This window comes from Homo sapiens, chromosome 20, assembly GCF_000001405.40.
Source record: "Homo sapiens chromosome 20, GRCh38.p14 Primary Assembly".
Taxonomy (NCBI): domain Eukaryota; kingdom Metazoa; phylum Chordata; class Mammalia; order Primates; family Hominidae; genus Homo; species Homo sapiens.
The window spans coordinates 38,296,560-38,318,301 of record NC_000020.11 but is presented as its reverse complement, the minus strand read 5'-3'; the positions used below and the strand labels follow the sequence as shown (position 1 = coordinate 38,318,301).

Sequence of the window (21,742 nt, the reverse complement as noted above, 5' to 3'; positions counted from 1 at the left end):
TGTAGCCAATCAAGTTTCCCTTTTCTTTTTGGCCACCAGGAAGCTCAGAGTTGAACATGTAGCTTAGAAATAATAACTGTATATGACTGTATGGCCCACATAACTGCATTCTATTTCCTGCCCTGGTGTGTGGAACTGATGAGGGTTTATGTTTTCTATTTTATAAGGTTTTTTTTTTTTGTTGCTGTTGTTGTTTTGTTTTTTCTTTTGTTTCTGTTTGATTTTGCTGTCTCAGATCCTTTGTGGAATGAGGTAATAAACAAATACGAGGTAGTCAATGGCCAGCCTTCCCTTACCTGGGCTTCTGGGAGCATGGGCAGTGTTTCTGCTTAAGTCTAGGTGGGCACCCTCATGTTTGGTATGTATGGCCAGAGAAGCCATTCCCTACCTGCCTTTGCCACTCCACCCCAATCCCCCTGTCCCCTAGCCCATGACTCACAATGGAACAAACACTAGCCTGAGAAAATCTGACTTGGGCCACACACTGACTTTGACACTGAGGAAGTTGTTCCATTTATCTAGACCTCTATTTCTTCATCTGTAAAACGGAACATGGCAAATTACATTTTCCATTCCATTTGCTCTTCTGTAATGTGGCTTTGCCACACCCCCACCAAGAGATGGAGTCTGTGAACTTGCCACTAGAATCTGGGCTTGCCGACTTGCTTCTAAGCAACAGAACACAACAATACACCTGACCTTTGTGTAACTTCAGAGGTGAGGTCATAAAAGGCTGTGCAGAACCCACTCAATGCTACGAGAAGCCCAAGCCCTGTGGAGAGACCATGGAAGTGGCTTGGGTCAATAGTCCCAGCAGAGCTGAGCCTTCAAGTCTTCCTAGCCCAGGCACCAGAGATGGGAGAGAGGAACTCTCCAGGTAATTCTAACATGGAACTTTTGAGTCTTCTGAGGTGAGGCCTCAGACCTCATGGAGCAGAGAGCTTAGCCATCCCTGTCATGCCTTTTTCCTGATGCACAGAATCCATGAATGTTAACAATGGTGGTTGTTTTATGATACCAAATTTTGAGTTGTTTGTTTTCAAGCAATAGATAGCTAGAATATAGGATTTAAACCACAGGCTTCTCCTCACTAAGAGATTGGGGCTGGGGCTGGTGGTCAGACAAGCTCCTTCCCTCCCTCTCCTGATGTTGCTCTCGAATGACCTTTCCCTCAGTAATCCAGCAGTCTCTTCAGTCCTTGCATTTCTTGACTACTGGGTAGCTCCTGGTGTGGTTGCCCATTCCCTTCTAGAAACACTCCTTCTAGAGTCCTGTGACCAAGGCCTTCCACTTTCTTCCTATCCCCTGCAGGCTTTTCCCCAGACTTCTTTGCAAGCTCTTCCTCCTTCACTGAAGATGTGGGAGCTTCTCTGGGCTTTCTTCCTGGCTCCCTGTCCCTTCCACTTAGGCCCTCTTCTTGAGCCATTTCAGGCATCCCCATGGCCCCTGTGGCAGATGCTGCAGCGCCTCACCCACACTCTCTGGACTGTGCTCAGAAGTGCCAAGCAGTTAGGACCCTAAGAACAGCCTTCAATGAAAGAAGGGTAGGAGGTGGTAGACAAATACCCCAGCCTTCTTCCCGCTTCTGGGACAATTCTGAGGTGTGCTCCCCACCATTCCTCTGAGAATTGCCAGCAGGACTGAGTCCCAGTTGCCCATAGCAGCAACCCACTCAGTAAAGGCCCTTCCCTGCCTCCCGACCTCCTCACTGCGCTGCCTGGGAACCCCTCCCAATAAATGACTTGCACCCAAACCCTGACTCAGCATCTGTCTTTGGGATCCCAGGCGGAGTCACCTCCACTGCTCCCAACATGTGGCCAGTACCCAGGCCTTACTTTGCAGCCCAGGCTTCTCCTCTGAGCTTCAGCCTGGGGACCCAGCTGCCTCAAGGACAACTGTCCCTGTGTGTCCTACTGGTCCCCAAGGCTGGCACATCCCAAACCAAACTCTTCAGGTTCTTAATCCTCCTTAGGGTTGGCTGCACCATCTGCCTAGAGGTCACCTCTATCCTCCCCTACCCCTTCTTCTACACTGCCAATCAAGTTATTTTTCCTGGGGTATGGAGGGAAGAAAAGGGGAAGGAGGGAAGAGGGGAAGAGAAAGAAGGAAGGAAGAAAGGGAGAAAAGGAGAAAGGGATGGAAGGAAGAAAGGGAGAAAAGAAAGGAAGAGCTGGGTGTGGTGGCTCACGCCTGTAATCCCAGTACTTTGAGAGGCCGAGGTGGGTGGATCACTTGAGGTCAGGAGTTTGAGACCAGCCTGGCCAACATGGTGAATTCCTGTCTCTATCAAAAAATACAAAAATTAGCCAGGCATGGTGGCAGATACCTGTAATCCCAGCTACTCGGGAGGCTGAGGCAGGAGAATCTCTTGAACCCGGGAGGCGGAGGTTGCAGTGAGTTGAGATTGTGCTACTGTACTCCAGCCTGGGCAACAGAGAGAGACTTCATCACCAAAAAAAAAAAAAAGAAAAGAAAAGAAAAGAAAGGAAGAAGAGTGGGAAGAAGGAAAGGAAGGAAGGAAGGAGGGAAGAAGGAAAGAAAGGAAGGAAGGAGGGAAGACAGCAGTGAGAAGGAGGGAAGGAGAAAATTTGGTTTCCCTGAAGTGTGTTTCTACCACATAAGGCTCTTGAAGTCCTAAGAGGACCTGGACTGGCATTCTCCAAGGAACCTGCACCTCTTTTCCAAAGGACCCAGGAACAGAGGACAGCACAGCTGGCAGCTGAGGCCCTGCTGGACTCCTGAGCTGCCCCTCAGGCATTGTCATCAGTGTTGCTCACCCATCAGGGCCAACAGATGGCTCCAGATCGCAGCAAATCCTGGTGGGATCCCAGCTCCCTCCCTGCTCTTCCCTTCATGCACACTTTGTACTGACGCAGGCTCTTCCTTCCCTCAGACACCAGCCCTACATGCTGTATTCCCTGGGGGCAGACTCCCTGGCTCACTTCTCACCATTTCCAGACCCTCCTGGCATCATGACATTTCATTCCTTCATTCATTCATTCAGGCCAGTACTTGCTTCTAAATTGGATCTTATGGTTAAGAGAGAGGCTCATCTCTGAGGCAGGGTATCCTGGATTTGAATCCAAGCACTATTACTTCCACTTTCTGTATCTCAGTTTACTCACCTGTAAAATAGGGATAATCATGGAATCTCTCTCACAGGGGATTAAATGCCAGAATGTGTGGATTAAATGCTGGAATCCATGGAAAAAGTTCTTAGCATAGTGTCAGATCACTGTAAACACTCAGTATATTATATGGGCCAACATCATCACCATCCCCACCATCACCATCACCATCAACCTCGCTATCACCATTGAAACTTCCCAGGATGAGCTCCTGCCTTGGAGGAAGAAAATGCCTATTAAATCGGTGTATACTTACCACCATCACCATCACCATCACCATCATCAGTCTCACCATCACCATCACCATCATCATCATCATCATCTCCACCATTACCATCACCATTATCATCATCCCCACCATCACCATCATCAATCTCACCATACCACCATCATCATCATCCCCACCATTACCATCACCACCATCATCATCCCCACCATCACCATCATTATCATCATCCCCACCATCACCATCACCACCATCATCATCCCCACCATCACCATCACCATCATTATCATCATCCCCACCATCACCATCACCACCATCATCATCCCCACCATCACCATCACCATTATTATCATCATCCCCACCATCATCATCACCACCATCATCATCCCCACCATCACCATCACCATCATTATCATCATCCCTACCATCACCGTCACCATCATCATCCCCACCATCACCATCACCATCATTATCATCATCCCCACCATCACCATCATCATTATAATCATCCCCACCATCACCATCATCATCATCATCCCCACCATCACCATCATCAATCTCACCATCACCACCATCATCATCATCATCCCCACCATTACCATCACCACCATCATCATCCCCACTATCACCATCACCATCACCATCATCATTATCATCATCCCCACCATCACCATCATCAATCTCACCATCACCACCATCATCATCATCTTCCCCACCATTACCATCACCACCATCATCATCCCCACCATCACCATCACCATCATTATTATCATCATCCCCACCATCACCATCCTCAATCTCACCACCACCATCATCATCATCATCTTCCCCACCATTACCATCACCACCATCATCATCCCATCACCATCATCATCATCAACCTCACCATAATCATCACCACCATCACCATCACCATCCTCATCATCTCCACCATTACTATCACCATCATCAACCACATAATCACCATCAACCTCACTATCACCATCATCAACCTCACCATCACCATCATCACCATCATCGCCATCATCATTATCATCCTCAGAATCACCATCATCATCATCATCCCATCATTACCATTACCATCACCAACCTCACCATCACCATCATCACCATCACCATTATCATCCTCACCATCACCATCATCATCATCCCCACCATCACCATCATCAACCTCACCATCACCGTCATCACCATCACCATTATCATCCTCACCATCACCATCATCACCATCATCCCCACCATTACCATTACCATCATCAACCTCACCATTATCATCATCATCAACAGCAGCAGCAGCATTACTACTTATTAGCTTGGCTGCTATAGAGGGGCCACCTTTAGATGGTACTAAGAAATAATCATTGTAATTGTTCCAAATGTTAAATATATCTCAACACTCCTCTCAGACTGTTACTTGATTATACAGACAGCTGAACTGTGGGTGAGCTAGCCTAGTGAGTGAGCACATTTTCTGGGTTATCTCATGAATCCTTACAGTGCCTTGGTGAAGACGGTATTAATGTCCCCCCTACCCTTTTTTTTTTTTTTTTTTTTTTTTTTTTTTGAGACAGGGTTTCACTCTCGTTGCCCAGGCTGGAGTGCAATGGCATGATCTTGGCTCACCACAACCTCCACCTCCCAAGTTCAAGCGATTCTCCTGCCTCAGCATGCCGAGTAGCTGGGATTACAGGCATGTATCACCATGCCCAGCTAATTTTGTATTTTTAGTAAAGACAGGATTTCTCCATTTGGTCAGGCTGGTCTTGAACTCCTAACCTCAGTTGATCCACCTGCCTTGGCCTCCCAAAGTGCTGGGATTACAGGCATGAGCCACCATGCCCGGCCTAATGTCCCCATTTTACAGATGGTAAAACTGAGTTTCAAGAAGGTCAAGTAATTTCCTCAAGGTTACACAGCTAGTTAAGCCCTGGAGCCCAAGCCAAAACCTTCCCTGAGACCCTACCCTGAGACTTTGGCTGGGGAATGTCCTGCTCATTGGAACTGTCCCATCTAATCCCAACCGAGCCACTGGCTCCACTCTTGCCATGGGACTCTAAAACCCATTCTATAGTCCACTGTGTTATGCATTTTGACAAACATGTATTGACTTCTTGCTTTTTAAGCTTTTGACACAGTATCTTCAGATAGATGATCTCACTTGATTGATGCCCCCCATCTGTATTTTCAGTGTCTTTAACAAGGAAACCAACATCTTCCACCTAGAAGACCGCATGAGACTCCTCAGTGGTCTCCTTGCTCCTACTCCTGGCCCCTCCAGTCATTCCCACAGTGGACAGGGAAATTGTTGTAAAGCACAGATCTGGCCAAGTCACCCATTTGCATAAAACCTTCAGTGGCTTCCATTGCCCTCTGGAGAGAGGCAAAACTCTTTGCTTTTTGAGACAGGCTCAGATGATTCTTAAAAACTGATAATTTGTTAATGGAAAACCAGCCAAATGAATGGCCTCATCCCGTAACTGAAGTATGTGGGTTGCGGGTTTAGGCTATGGGCATGGTTCGGGAAGTGCTGGCTGATACCCGTCTCTTGTACTAGTTCCAGCCTCAGGGAATGGGCTATGGCTGGGGTTTGGCCAAAGGCCAGAATTGCAGCTTCATCAATGGCATTTGTTCTGAATGGGGAGCATCAAGGAAGGAACTTGGGGTGGGTGGGGTGGAGGGAGGCTAGCAGGGCTATGGGAAGAGAGGGAGGCAGAAAGAGAATGGCATTTTCTCAGCAGGGAGGAAGGCTGGGGAAAAGCAGAGGTGGCCCAAGCTTGGCATGAGGGAAAGTTTGCTGGGAGTGTGGGAAGTGATTGTCTCTTGGTCTCTTGGTGGACTCTTCAGCAAAACATACATGACAGGATTTTAGAGCTGGGGTTGTGGTTTCAAAGGGCCATAAGGACTACCAAGGGGTCTGGAGTGACAGCAGAGTGTCCGTAGAAGGGGGAGGTGTGTGGTTACTAAGGGCCCTTCTCCTCTGTTTGCTGATGGGGCTCTGAGCCCCTCCTACCTGGCTGTTCATCTTGTTTCGAAGCGCAGACTCAATTTTTTTGTGGAAGAGTTGGATCAGCCACCTAGAGATGAACAAGTAGGGACATAGATGAGGCTTTTTGATTGTCCCTGGGCTGGATTCAGGAGGCTGCCTCATCTCAAAAGCTTTCTTCCCTCCTAGAAACAGGTTTTGGCACCCTCTCCTCTGAGCTCTAACTGCACACACCCCATCAGACACTTCTCCCCGATTTAGTGACCTGTTCATGAGGCTATTTCCTGAATCCCTGCATGGCTGGGCCCCCGTCCCAGTCTCATTCCTTACCAGTCCCCTCCCTTGCTGCACACTAGCCACACTGGCCTGCCATGTCCTCTCTCCTGTGTGTCCTCCCATTACCGTGCCTTTGCACATGCTCTTCCCTCTGCTTAAAACACCCCCCTCCCCAACACCTCCCTAACTAATGCCTACTTATCCTTTCATCTCAGTTCAAATGTCATTTCACCAAGGAAGAATTGGCCTGCTCCCAGATGCGGTCAGAGCCTCTGGTTCTCTGCGTTCATAGAAGTTTGTACCTCTTTTTCTTAATTCTTGTCTCCTTTTGTAATTCTGTGTGGGCCATTCATTCATGCAATGCTTTGGTTAATGATTGTCTTCCCCACTGGGCTGAAAACTTTAAGAGAACAGGACTGTGTGGCTGAGTCTGGGGTGAAATAGACCTGGACTTGAACACTCATTAGCTGTAGCAACTTAAGTTATTGCCTATCTCTCCATGCCTTGGTTTTCTCCCCAGAAAATGGGGTAATAATAGACCGACCTCACAGAGTCATGGTGTGGCTTGAATGAGATAATGAGTGTGATCAAATCAGTGCTGGGCACAGTCAGCCTCTGACCAATATTAGCTCTTGCTAAGTTTTCATTTGTCACTCCTGTTTCCTGACCATGTTGCACGAGCCTGGTGCAGAGCTGATTCTCACTAGGTATTTGTTGAATGGATGGATAGATGAATGCCTACAGATTTGTGATGAGGATATAATTTAGTGCATATGTAAAGTGCTTAGTATGAGCCTGGGACATAGTAAGTGCTCAGTAAAGTCTGCTGGATGAGTATGGAATGAACAAATGATGCCTTGAGAAAGAGACAGTGTCTGGTTCATCTGTGGGCCCCTGGCCCCCATACCATGCCTGAGGCCTCTGAGCAAGGCCTGGCATGCAGGTGGCACTCTGGATGTGTTTTCGGAATACAGGGATGATTGGGAGAGTTCTTCTTTAAGTCCCTCCTCCCAGCCACAGTCCCGGGAGTCCATACCCCACTTTGCTCTTTGAGATGTGCACGTGGACACTGTTGATGTGGCTGCTGCAGCTGGAGCAGGTGATGGTGGGCTTGCCTGACGTGGGGTTACTGCCCAGCTTCAGATCAGCCGAAATGGACATGCCTTCTATGCTCAGGTCAAAATTGCCGCTCATTTTTCTGAAGAAGAACAAAGAGGAATGTGGGACAAGTCCTTTCTTCCCACTGACATTCAAACTTTGCCCCAGTGCTGGAAGGCGGGTTTTGTTATTATCCCCACTCCAGGTGAGGAGGTACGTTCAGAGAGAAGAGGCAGCTTGCCCAAGATCACATAGCAGCCGAATGGGAGAGTCAGGAATCCAACCTGAATTCGGAACTCATGTTTGCCTGGCAGAAACCTGCTCTTAACCACTGCTTCAGCTGCTGCCCTAGCTGTGTGGCCTTGGGCATGTTTCTTACCTCTCTGAGCTTCCATTTCCTCCCTCAGACCCTGGATCAGCAGTCAGACACCAGAGTGTGTGTCTCAGCTTTGCTACTAAAAAGCTGGGTGTTTGGGGCCAATGACTTTCATTCATTAATGCCCCCATTAATTCAGTAATGAGGTTAATAACTCCTCCTTCAGGGATGAAATGGGTTTTGGTTGAGACAGTGGACATTCTTTTGTTTTTGTGTGTGATCATTAAGGGAAAAGACAGATGCAAAACAGCCCAGGGAGAGAGTTAAGTGATTCTTATTGTGGGGAGGAGACACATCCAGCAGTTCTTGTAAGGGCGGGCAGACTCACGCCCCTTTCATCCGCCAGGGTGGTTTCTCCTCCATTTTCCTCCCTAGATTCCCTAGAAAGGAGACCTTCCTAAAGCGATGGTCAGTCTGAACCACTATTGCTAATGGGCAGGGTAGCTGTGGAGAGATCCCAGGACTTAGATTTGGAGTTGTAGTTTGGGTTATTTGCCCCTATTTTTCACCCTGCCCTGCATTCATACCCTTGCCATTGCCTATCATGGCAGGGTTGAGGAAGGTGCCTTTGCTTGCCCTTGACTTTGGGCTTGGCCACGTGAAATGATTTGGCCATGGTATATAAATTCTGAGCCTGGGCCTTAAGAGGACCTGTGTGTTCCTGCTTTCCCTTTTTACACCTCTGCTATCACCAAGAATATGCTCTGCATAACCCACTGGTCCAAGGAGGAGGAGACACAGGTGGAGCCAAGCCTCCTCTGCTAAGCCCAACCCAGATCAGCTAAGCCCCAGCCGACAGATACATAAGTGATGACAGCCGATTGTTGTTTTAAGCCACAGAATTTGGGATGGTTTGTTACACAGCAATAGCTAACTGATAAACGGGATAAATTAAAGGTTCCACTTAGATTTCCACCCTAAGCCACATACACCAACTCAGCCTCGCCAGTATCCTGCACTGAGATGTGGATAAATTCTCAGCTATTAATCAAGGGTTATGTTGAATCTTCTCATGTGAAGAATTTCCTGAGGAACGCTGTGGCTATAGGTGGTAATAGGCAAGGCAAAAATTGGGCATTCCAGAGACGCTGACTCTCTAATCCCGTCCAAATATCACCAAGAGCACACCCAACAAACCGCAAGCATGGAAACGCACAAGAATCTCTTTTGTGCCTTCCATTTCCCGCTGATCTTGATATTGGCGTTGCTGATGGAGAACTTAAGGCCCACATTGGGCACCATGCTTATCTGGGAACTGGGAAGCTGGAATTCACGGATGTCCATGCTGCAAAGGAGAAATGTGAATGTCATATAATTTCATATACTCCTAGGTGCACACATGAGGACTTCGTTAATGGTTAATGCAGACTCGTCCCCCACCACCTGGTCCTTCACTCCATCCATTCCAGGAGGAGCCCAAAGCTAAGAAAGCAGGCTTGGCAGATATGTAGGCAACTGGAGTGGCTTAGGTTTTGAAGTCAGAAAAAACTTGCATTTAAATCCTGCTCTTTAATATACTCTTGGGTTACCTTGGGCATAATTACCCCAGCCTCAGTTTCCTCATCTGTAAAATGGGCACAGTGATTGCTATTTTGCAGGGTGTGTGGCAATCAATGAAGATAAAATAGAAGGCCCTTTCACTGGAAGCTCTGTACAGAAGAGCTCTGTATAGCTCTGTCTTGTTTCACTATTGCAGCCCCAAAGCCTGCTGTGTCAGACACACAGTGGGTGCTCAAAATATCTGTGAATGAATGGGTGTATAAAACTGTAGAGGACTTTTATGGGTTTTCTGCCCAGTGCACAGCCCCCTTCTTGTGATAACAGAACTACTAGATTATTTAGGGGAAGCCCCTCCCCATATCTGTTCCATGCCACTCCAAAGAAAGTTGACCTCACGTCCATCTTCGGGGGTGGAGCTTGCAACTTAGGCTCGGCCAAGTAGTGTATTTCATTCCCTGGCTACAGTGATTGGCTCAGGGCTGTGTATATAATCTGAGGTGGGCCAGTCAGAGTGAGTCTTAGGGCTCTTTGTTCAGAGTGCTGAGCAGGAGATCTAGAGAGACTTACTGGTGGCTGTCTTGCCTCTGGAGGGGACACACTGCCTGCGAATTAGGCCTGTCCAAGGAAGTGATGCTGAGAGGTGGCAAGAGAGAAACAGGGCCCAGTGACATGTAAGCCTGCCTCAAGCTGAACCTGAAGCCAGACTCTTCCAGAGACTTTCCGGCCATGTGAGCCAATGCATTCTGCCTTAAGCCATTTTAGAAAAGATTTTCTGACCTTGAAAACTTGCACATTCTAATTGACATATGGCGCAGAGTTTGGGGGTTCATGACACACTTCCTGGGAGTCGTGGTTTTTGTGGCTTCCTCCACGCTCAGCTGGGAGGTTGCCTCCCCTTGGGATGATGTAAATGCAGGCTTTGGGATATGAAACTCTGTGAGTTGAGGAGTTTGTGGCTCTGCATTCTAGCTCTTGGTGTCCCCAGAACACTACAAGTCCTGCAAATCGAGGATTGAGCTCTGATAGGCCTCACCTGTAGAAGCTATAATGCCCCTTCCCAAGATGCTTGATCTTAAAGCTGTCTGAGTAGTCAGGAATCTTGATCCTCTTCAGCTCCTTCTGCAGAGCGGCCGTCCCCTGCTGGCTGGCTGAAGGGAGAAGGCAGGGGTGACAGTGAGAGGCACAGCCTGGAGCAGGGGACAGAGGGGCAGGGCAGGCTCTGGACCCTGGGCCCCTGTTCGTAGCATGGACAGTGGCACTGGAAGGGTCAAAAACAGGGATCAATTAAGGTTTCCTAGAAAAGGCCAAATAGTAAACTGACCCTTTATAGGAAACCATATTGCCTCTGTCACAAATACTCAGCTCTGCCATTACTGCACAAAACAGCCATAGACAATATCATGTTCTTATATGTGCCTGTATTCCAATAACACTTTATTTGTTGGCATTGAAATGAGAATTTCATATAATTTTCACATGTTGTGAGATAGTATTTTTCTTCTTTTGTTGTTGTTTTGAGACAGGGTCTCGCTGTGTCGCCCAGGCTGGAGTGCAGAGGCATGATCACGGCTCACTGCAACCTCGACCCGCTGCACTTAGGTCATTCTCCCACCTCAGCCTCCCTAGCAGCTGGGATCACAGGTGTTCGCCACCACACCAGGCTAACTTTTTAAAAATTTTTTTTTAACATTTTTGCAGAGATCTGGGGTTTCACCATGTTGCCCAGCTGGTTTCGAACTCCTGGGCTCAAGTGATCCTCTCACCTCAGCCTCCCAAAGTGCTGGAGTTACAGGCATGAGCCACCATGACCGGCCCTTTTGATTTTTTTCCCATCATTTAAAGACATTAAGGCCATTTTTGTCTTATAAGCCATACAAAAACGGAGGGCTGTAGTTTGCTGACCCCTGGTCTAAAATATCACCCCTGAAACACCCAGTTATGCCTCCTGCTAGTTTTTGTTGGATACTTAATTTGTTATTTGCTCTATGCTACACCCCCACAGATCTCCCACCTCTCTGGGTTTTGGACTGTCTCCCCAGGGCCTTTGCACATGCTATTCTTGCTCCCTAAGAAATTCTTCCCTCCCATATTCACCCGGTCAGCTTCTAGTCAGCTCATTCATCACTTCCTCTGGGAACCCTCCCTGGCTTAGTAGATCAGAGCAACGCCCTGTGTTATTCTCATGATGCTGTGGACTGCTCTTTCGGAGCCCCTGTTACCATTTGTAATTATGCATTTATTCACGTGACTCTGACGAATGTCTCTCCCCTATTACATGTAAGCCCCCTGAAGTCAGCAGCAATCTGTTTTATTTACTCGTGTGTCCCTTACATTCCCATTGTGCCTGACACTTTGAAGGCACTTAAGATTTGTTAGATGAGGCTGGGTGCGGTGGCTCACGCCTGTAATCCCAGCACTTTGGAAAGCCAAGGCAAGTGGATCACTTTAGGTCAAGAGTTCAAGAGTTCAGCCTGGCCAACATGGTGAAACCCCGTCTCTACTAAAAATACAAAAAATTAGCTGGGTGTGATGGTGCACGCCTGTAATCCCAGCTACTTGGGAGGTTGAGGCAGGAGAATCACTTGAACCCCGGAGGCAGAGGTTGCAGTGAGCTGAGATGGCACCATTGCACTCCAGCCTGGGCCACAGAGCGAGACTCGGTCTCAAAACAAAACAAAAAAAGATTTATTAGATGAATAAATAATGTCCTAATGGCAGGAATTCTACCACCAGTTATAATGTGGCTAACAGCATCAAAGAACCAATTAAAAGGCAGACACATTACCTGAAAAGGAGTAAGTAGTAAGATGAGGGAGCCCAGACTTTGGGTTTTCTCGGAGCCAGTTAGGAAATAATAATATCAATGAAATGTATCGAGCTTTACTCTGTGCCAAGCACTGTTCTAGGCTCCGTATATGTATGAATTTGTACAATCCTAGGAAGTAGGTCCTGTCACTACCCCCATTTCACAGATAAGGAAGCTGAGGCTCAGAAAGCTGAGGTGACTTGCTAGGGGCCACACAGCGGACAAGGGGCAGAATTTGAACCCAGGCCTTCTGGTCCCAGAGCCCATGCCCTAGAGAAGGCTTTCTGGGGGTTCAAAAGTAAATGACACATAACTGGTCACTGTGTGGAGGGAAAAAAAAATGTGCAGTGGCCAGGATCTGTAAGTTGACAGGGGCCAGGCCTCGAAGGGTCTCAAATGCCATGCCAAAGGGTCAGGATAGCTTCTGAAGGCAGTAGGGAGCCATGGAGAATGTGAGCCAGGGGAGGATGTGTAGGGATTTGCTGCATTTCAGAAAACTCACTCCGATTGGCACAAGGGGCCTGGGTAGAAGGGGAAACTCAGGCTGCTATGACGGAGCATGAAGACCACTGAACTTAAAGACCCTGACTGAGCCTCTGTGTCGACAGGCTTCAGGGCCATACTCCTTCCCCCTAGCTCTTCTGTCTTCTGTGGCCTTCTGTCTGCAGCTCTAGGATTCAGTGATGTCCTGCTGGGCTGGGGTGGGAATTCAGGGGTGGGATACCAGGTCCCCTGAGTCCTGTCTGTTTTCCCAACGCACCCCAACTGGTGAGGCTCTGCCTTCCCCTTGGTCTGATTTCCCTGGGGCTGGGTGTCACCCACTGTTTTGCAGGTCATCTCTCTGCCATCGGGAGGCAGCATCGAGCAACCCCGTGCTGGGGCATCAGGCAAGACCAGAGCTCAAATCCAGGCTGCCCACTTCTCACGTGTAAATGTGGATAGCAGCAGTTTGTCTTACACAAGGCTGAAGTGAGGGTAAAAGAGACTGTGTGTGTAAAGTTCCTAGCTCAATGCCTGGCACAGGTTAGAGCAGGTCTTTCTCTCCTCTGCCTGGGCTGGGGTGAGTGGTCTGGGGGGACCCTCTTTGTGTCACCCAGTGGAGCACTGTGCACAGTATGGCCGCCAGCCCCTGCAGTGGGGAGAGCACGGGGTGGGGAGGTCCTCCCACACTCTCCCTCTGACCCTGCTCAGCCTCCTCAGCAACGAGAGGCAAATGGCAAGGCTGAGAACTGGCTTTGGAAAGAAGAGAAGGGCTTATAAGTCAAAGGTGGAGGTTACATAGAGGGAAGGAGGGGACCATGAGGACCCTCAGGGGTCTGAGCACTGGACTTGGAGTCCTCTAGACCAGTGCTCCAATCCCAGCTCTGCCATCCCAGCCCTGCAATCTTAGGCAACTCGCTTTGCCTCAGTTTCTTCATATATAAAATGGGGGCAAGGGGACCTGCCCTGAGGTGCTATGAGTGTGCCAGGTGCTGGATCTAAAGGGGTGCACACAGTAGATGCTAAGTAAGTGCTCCTCAGGGGTGGAGAGGAGGGAAGGGAGGCATCCAGTTACCGTAGTCCAGGCCCTTCTGGGAGATCCTGACCACGACGCCAGGGTTGACGGCCGCTGTCACGGCGGTGCCTATGGCGACCAGCACCATCAGGGACGCCCATCTCGGCGCGTTGCAAGGGCCCCTGGCCATGTTCTCTCTCATCCTCCAGAGCTGCCAAAACCTCAAGGCCTTGAGGTTGAACCAGGGAGCTATAAAAGAGTCGGCTGGGGAAATGCAAGTCAGTAGAATGTGGAAAGGAGGAAGGAACCTGGTGAGGGTGGGAAAGAGGGAGGGCCGCTGTGGTTTTCCATTGTGGTTAGGGCCCCACAGGCAGGGAGAAGTGCAGCCTGGGAGGCTCGCATGTCCATGTATGCATGCGTGTGTGTGCGCGGGCGTGCGTGTGTGTATGTGTGTGTGTAGATTGGTTCCCCTCCCTAGGCACCCCATTCCCCGCTCTGTGTCCCCACCCAAATGCCCCCATCTACAGACTCCCTTGAAGGTGGGTGGCACAGACATAAGGATTCATATTTTTCTTTCTACTTTTGATTTCTTTTGTATTTTTGATAGTAAAACATTTAAGAAAACAGATGCTTTCGTGTTTTCTTGTCCTGAGAGGCAGTAGTGGTAATGATTCAATGCTCACATTTTAGAGTCTAGTATCTTGGCTATGGTTTTAAATCTTAGCCCTGTCATTCTCTAGTGGTCCGACCTCAGGCAAGCCCTTTAACCTCTCTGAACCTCGGTTTTCTCTTCTGCAGAAGAGAAATACATAGTACTGCTCCCTCTCTGGATTGTGGAGAAGATAAAATGAGCTTAAAACCACGTAAAGCATTTAGCATACTGCCCGTGCAAAATAAATATCCAAATGCTAGCTATTAATGTTATCCTGATTTTAAAAGTAACCCATGTTTATTGGCCAAAATTTGAGAAAGAAACAAGAGAATACAAATTACATATAACTCCCTCTTCCGGAGACAAGCCAAAGTGTATTTTAGAGTATTTCTTTTCTCCCTCTTTTGTTGGTAAGCATAGGTAGAGAGTCCATGTTTGTTTGTTAACCAATATGGGATCACCTGGTCAGTTTGGTAAAGTTCCCTTTTTTCGAGAAACAATAGGTAGCAAATGTTCTTCTCCAGCATTAAATATTTCATTGCTTCCTCATCCCACAGCTTTCTTATCCAAGCTTCTGTTTTTGTACATTTTTACTCCTTCCTTTGGCAGATGTAGAACCTGAGGCTTCACCAGGGGAAGCGTTCTTCCCACGGTCACTCAGCAAGCTGCTAGCAGAGCGAGGATCAAAACACAGCCCTCCAGATGCATCCCACACCAGCCCGAATCCCTCAGCGCCTTGGGAGTTGGGGGGATGTAGACACTCCCCACCGCCAACCCAGCTTTCCAGACAGGTCCCTGTCTGCTCAGCCCCTGCCCCTCCCTCTGCAGCAGCCTCAGGCCTCGGGTGGGCAGGAACCCCACTGGGCAGCCTGCTCCGTCTCCATGGTGATGAGAGGAGGGGCGGGGCTGCAGAAGGGGCAGCCAGCTTCTCTCCCGCTGGGTCCTCATCAGCCCCCTAGTGCCCTGTCTCCCCGACTTTGGACTTTATGAAAGTCTAATGAAGTCCGCTGAGCTCGGAGGACGTGAGACCTTCTGAAGTTTTCTTCTTTTTTTCTTAAAAGTTTTTTTCTTCCTCTCTTCGTTTGGTTCTAAAAGAGTCTCCCCTCCTGCTTCCATCTGCAGCAACTAGAATTCTTCTGGCTTGCTTCAGAATGAAAGCAGTGGCCGTGTGTGAAGCATCCACTGTGTGCCAGATGCTTCATATGCATCATCTCCAAGCCAAAAAACAACCCTGAGAGAGGGATGATTCTTCCCCATTTTGTTTTATTATTATTATTATTATTATTATTATTATTATTATTGAGATGAGGTCTTACTATGTTGTCCAGGCTGGTCTTGAACTCCTGAGCTCAAGCAATCCTCCTGCCTCAGCCTCTCAAAGTGTTGGGATTAAGGCCGAGCCACACCGTGCCTGACCTCTTCACCATTTTGGAAACAAGGAAACTGAGATGCAGCGATCACATCACTGTCATGGTCATTCCTCCTTTCACGCAGAGAAGATTTTCCCTTACCTGAGGCAGGTGCCAGGAGGACTCATGACTGTAGGCCCTCACCCCAGCTCTCCCTTTTTCCAAGTGATTTGAGCCCCCAGACTCAGATGTCTGCATCTGTACCAGGAAGATTGCTCTAAGTAGCAGCCAGAACACATAGATTGATGACTTGTCACAAAAATTAGATTTTTGAAAAATTATCTTGCACATTTTTGAACACTTCCAGCTCTTAGTTGCTCGAAGTTCCTGAGTTCCCCAAGGCCCAGGTAGATGTGGTATCCGTGAGGGTGTCAGCTAGGAAAGGAACATTAAGATGAAATCACATGACAATGACCTACATTGCTATAAAATTAGAATCTTAAAACCAGCTGACGGCCGGGGGTGGTGGCTCACACCTGTAATCCCAGCACTTTGGGAAGCCAAGGCAGGTGGATCACTTGAGGCCAGGAGTTCGAGACCAGGCAGGCCAACATGGTGAAACCCTGTCTCTACTAAAAATACAAAAATTAGCCAGGCATGGTGGTGTTCACCTGTAATCCCAGCTACTCAGGAGGCCAAGGCATGAGACTCTCTTGAACCCATGAGGCAGAAGTTGCAGTGAGTCAAGATCACACCATTGCACTCAAGCCTGGATGGTAGAACAAGACTCTGTCCCCCCACAACCTCCCACCAAAAAAAAAAAAAAACCCAGCTGGCAAGTTTCTGAACAAGCAACCCCACTGGCTTCCCCGATGTCTCATGCCCAGCCACATCTAGATGAGCCACATCAGTGACTTTCCACAGTCTCCTTGTCAGCACTGCTGCTGGCCATGGGGCTGCCCCACTGCTTCAGATCTGACCCCGTATCCTGTATCAGTAACAGTGTCTTCAACCCAAGTATCAGAAACCATCAACTCACATTGCTTCAACGATAAACAAATTTATTATGGCAGAGAGGAAGTCCAGAGGGAGGAGGACAGGTTTGAGATTCTGATTGATTCAGCAACTGACCGACATCTGCAGGATCATCTTTCCATCTCTCTGCTCTCCCATCCCCGTGTCTCAGATTTGCTCTTACACTGGCTTCTTTCATGGTTGCAAGATGGCCGCAGCAGCTCCAGCCATCCCATCTAAACAGACTTTCCCCAAATATCCTTTTCCTCTTCCTCCTCCTCCTGCTTTTTGTTTTTTTCTTTTCCCTAAAATTATTATAAAATATTTCAAACCTAAGAAAAGAATAGACCACATAGGTTTATAAAACCTTAACATTCTGCCATATTTGCTTCCTAGAGTTCCTTTTAGTTCTAGGAATTTTGATACATGTATAGCTATGTGTTGTAACCAGGACCACAATCAGGATATAGAAGAATCCTGTCATCCCCCAAAACTCTTCTCCTGCTATTTCAATTTGATGCAGCTTAAATCATAGGGAAAATATATTCTTCTCAGTAGAAATTCACAGATGGGGTGGATCAAGAGTTGGTCAGTTCAAGGGCTGGATCTGTCTATTTTCCTGCTCTTCCGTCCTTAGGCTGACGACTTTTTCCAGAAGAAAGTGAATTGGGTTTAGAGCCAGGCAGTCCTGGGTTCATAGTCCCAGCCATGCTACCCTATTCTGTGAGCCTGGCCAAGTTCCTCCACCTTTCTGAAATTGGGGTTCCTCATTTAAAGATGAGGAAACAGTGCTCATCATGGCAGTTGTTCCTGAGGATGAAATGAGATAATAGGTGTGAATCGATTTGCACAGAGAAGGTGCTCAGTAAATAATCGTAAGTCAACCTTCATCACTAGCTGGCTGGAGAGCCTCAGAGCCCCCAGGAAAACAAGCCAGGGGCACTGGAAACTGAGCTCTTGGCCCTCTGGCCTCTGGGTTTGGACTGGATAGGGGCAAAGATAGAGGAATCTGTGGCTTACATTGCCTCTGTGAGCCTTCCACTCCGCCAGGGGCTTGGAGGAGAAGCAGCCACTCCCTGCCTTATGTGAGCCCCCGCAGCACAGCAAGGCTGTTAAGGGCATGGTTTGGAACCTGACAAACCTGGGCCCAGATCCCAGCTCTGCCACTTCCTCGCTCTGTGACTGTGAGCTTGCTGCTTAAACTTGCTGAACCTGTTTCCTCGTTTGTCCCCACGCTCCATCCTCAGGCACAGGTCTTGCCTGGGTTTAACATGAGGTCACCTCTGTGGTCACCTGAGGCCCTGTACTCTCCCTCCCCTCAGCTCTGATTTTCTAGCCCTTTCCCTCCCTCACCCACCAGGGTCCCCCTTCCTCTGTGTGTCCGGCTTCCAGGCTATGCTGCCAGCCATTCTTTCATCCTGAGAGGGGGTTGCAGGTGAAGGAGGAGCTTGTGGTAGATGCTGGAGGGTGAAGGGGAGGAGAGAAGCAGGCCCACCTGGAGATCCAGCCTCAAGGTGCAGTGTGGAAAAGACAATCAGGCCAGCATGGTGGGAGGCCGAGGTGGGCAGATCGCTTGAGTCCAGGAGTTTGAGACCAGCCTGGGCAACATGGCGAAACCCCGTCTCTACAAAAAATACAAAAATTAGCCAGCATGGTAGCCCACGCCTGTAGTCCCAGCTGCTTGGGAGGTTGAGGTGGGAGCATCACTTGAGCCTGGGAGGCGGAGTTTGCAGTGAGCTGTGATCTGCACTCCAGCCTGGGTGACAGAGCGAGACTCTGTCTCAAAAAAAAAAAAAAAAAAAAAAGAGAATCAGACATTTTGTACAATTTGTATTAATTTTGTATTATGGCATAAACTCTTAAGAGGGTGTCTCCCCTGCTTTGTTATGCTAAAAAACACTGTCTGTCTCCTTCCCAGCTTCACGTCTCATAAAAGGGCTCCTTTGAGTAATCTGGTCAGAAAGATATGAGCCTCCAAGGGGCACAGGGTAGGGGCTGAGCTTCCTCATTATTATTAATACTAATATTAATTATTATTATCACAGCAATCCCAGAGTGGGACACAAGATTTACTCAATAGTGAATAAATTAAAAGAAGAGTCAGAGCATAGTTCTAGACCCTAAGTGCTTGGAGACTAAGGACAAGCTCAGTCTGGCCTGGCAAACCCCCAACGCTTCCGGGGGGAGGCATCTGCATCGGTGCCTGGGGGCTGATGGAAGGAGGGTGGTTTCTCAGACTGAAGGCCTGAGCCCTGCACAAAGGGCAGTTTCTGGGACAAGCTGAAGGCTGAGAGAAAGGAAAACAAGATAGAGCAGCTCTCCAGGGGTGGGTGGAAGGGAGGGTGCCTCTCTGGCTTCTTTTGCTCAGGAAACTGGAGAGCTGCGCCTGTGTCACAATGTTGGCTCACGGCAGGCCTGGCCTCCTCCAGCCCGAGGGAGGATCACGGGAAGAAAAGCAATACCGGCAGTTGGCTGTTGCCAAATGTGCAACAGCCTCTGACACTTGGGGCTGTTTCCCCTCGGCCACATTAGGAAATACGTATGTGCCCAGCCAAGGCCCAACAGGCTGAGCCCCGAGAGAACCTCGGCTGCTAGAGAGCTGCTCGTGGCCTGGCTCTGCCCTATGCTAGGGAGAGCACGAGCTGGGAACATTGGCAGGCTGGGGTTCGGGGGAGGTTAGTGGGGACCAGGGCCTGGGGTGGAGCCTTGGTTTTGCCTCTGCTTGGCTGTGTGAACCTGGACCAGTCTTTGCCCCTCTCTGGGATCTAGGGTCCTCATTCATAAGAACAGCCACCATCTTTGATGGGCTTAATCCATATCAGAAACCAAGCCAAACCCTTGGCTGACATTCTCTTTTAATCCTTATCTAGCCCTGAAAGTAGGTATCATTGGCTCCATTTCACAGATGAGAAAATTGAGGCTTAGAGAAGTTATGTAACTTGCCTAAGGCCACACAAGCAGAAAAGTGGCAAAGGGATGCTGAAGGTTTCAAAATGAGGGGAAGGGGCACCTCCTGTTGTGTTATGTGACGGAGGTGAATGTGGATTGTGGACTCATGGAGAAGCATGAGGGGCACTTTGTAGGCAATGACAAAAAGCCAGTGACACTTAATGTAACCACGTTTTTACCCACAGGGTGGTGAGGCCCAGAAAAACAACCTCCAGGGACCTATCCTTTCAAGCTTCTGCGCCCTTGACTATGCCATTTCTTCTACCTGGAGACTTTCTTTCCATAAGTGGAAAACTTCTATACATGCTTCAAGGCCCAGTTCAAATATCGCCTCCTACATGGAGCCTTCCAGGTTATCTGGGCTCCCTTCAGAGTCTGTCTCCATAATTGCCACCCTGTGTAATTGTCGTCTGTTTACTTGCTCATTTCTCCATCTCTCAGAGGTTGACAGCACGGATTCTTAAGCCAGTATGGCCTGGGTTCAATTCTGGCCTCTGCTGCTTTCAAGCTGTATGACCTCGGGAAAGTCACTAACCACTCTGAGATCTTTCGTTTTTTGTAAAACAGGACGAATAATATCTACCTTGTGTTGTTAATGTTAGATTAAATGAGCCAATGCATTGGAGTCCATACTAGATGCTCAATTATGGTAGCCATGTCTATTATAATTTGTGGTTGTTGAGACTGTAAAATTGCTTTCAATTTTTTATTTTGAAATAATACCAAACTTACAGAACAGTTTCAAAAATCGTACAAAAATTCCTATATTTATCTCACACAGATTGTCCAAGTTAGTAATGTTTTACTACACTTATCTTTACAGATGTATCTATATATGAATATATATGTGTATACATATATATATGTAAATATTTTTCCAGAATTATTTGGGTGTAAGTGCACGCATAATATTTTAGTTTGTATTTCCTAAAAACAAGGATGCTTTCCTGCATAATCACAGCACAAACAGCACTTTTTTTTTTTTTTTTTTGAGACAGAATCTCACTCTGTCACCAGGCTGGAGTGTAGTGGCGCGATCTCAGCTCACTGCAACCTCCTCCGCCTCCCGGGTTTAAGTGATTCTCCTGCCTCAGCCTGTCAAGTAGTTGGGATTACAGGCACGTGCCACCATGCCCAGCTAATATTTGTATTTTTAGTAAAAACGGCGTTTCACCACGTTGGCCAGGATGGTCTCGATTTCCTGACCTTGTGATCCACCCGCCTCGGCCTCTAAAGTGCTGGGATTGCAGGTGTGAGCCACTGTGCCCGGCCTATCACAGCACAAACATTCATACAGTATTACCAGCTAATCCACTGACCCCATTCCCATTTCACCAATGGTACCAATAATGATGTGAATGGGTCTAGGGTCCAATATAGGACCTCCTGTTGCAGTTTCTTCTCATGTCTCTTGGTCTTTTTTTTTTTTTTTTTGAGATGGAGTTTCACTCTTACTACCCAGGCTGGAGTGCAGTGGTGAGATCTCGGCTCACTGCAACCTCCACCTCCTGGGTTCAAGCAATTCTCCTGCCTTCGTCTCCCGAGCAGCTGGGATTACAGGCAAGCGCCACCATGCCTGGCTAATTTTTGTATTTTTAGTAGAGACAGGGTTTCACCACGTTGGTCAGGCTGGTCTCGAACTCCTGACCTCATGATCCGCCCACCTCAGCCTCCCAAAGTGTTGGGATTACAGGTGTAAGCCACTGTGCCCAGGCTCTTGGTCTCTTTTAAGCTGGAACAGTTTCTCAGTGTTTTCATGACTTGACATTTTTGGAGAGGACAACCCAGCTGCTTTGCAGAATGTCTGTCGGTTTGGGTTTGGCTGTTGTTTCCTTGGGACTGGATTCAGGTCGTGCCCTCTGAGCAGGGAAACCACAGAAGCGACGCTGC

General features: G+C 48.3%; 1 protein-coding gene across 5 annotated transcripts in view, besides 1 other annotated feature; it reads right to left on the bottom strand.

Moving 5' to 3' along the window:
* BPI (bactericidal permeability increasing protein) overlaps nt 1–14,146 on the bottom strand; it is a 33,350-nt gene extending 19,204 nt beyond the window's left edge. For 3 of the 5 annotated variants that reach the window (NM_001725.3, XM_047440393.1, XM_047440394.1), the window contains exons 1-5: nt 13,949–14,146; nt 10,621–10,735; nt 9,244–9,372; nt 7,650–7,811; nt 6,365–6,428 (exon numbers count right to left, since the gene is read on the bottom strand). In NM_001725.3, the coding sequence (NP_001716.3) occupies nt 6,365–6,428; nt 7,650–7,811; nt 9,244–9,372; nt 10,621–10,735; nt 13,949–14,078 (600 nt within the window). In that variant the 5' untranslated portion in view covers nt 14,079–14,146. Of the gene's footprint in view, nt 1–296; nt 391–6,364; nt 6,429–7,649; nt 7,812–9,243; nt 9,373–10,620; nt 10,736–13,948 lie in introns of those variants that run through there. The other 2 variants (XM_047440395.1, XM_024451972.2) reach the window with 1 other exon arrangement.
* Nucleotides 19,410–19,925: an enhancer, noted in NCBI's record as "H3K4me1 hESC enhancer chr20:36926779-36927294 (GRCh37/hg19 assembly coordinates)". NCBI's record gives its function as "activates a minimal SCP1, AML or CMV promoter by ChIP-STARR-seq in naive H9 embryonic stem cells {active_cell/tissue: H9 hESC(naive)}" and the evidence as "EXISTENCE:reporter gene assay evidence [ECO:0000049][PMID:30033119]".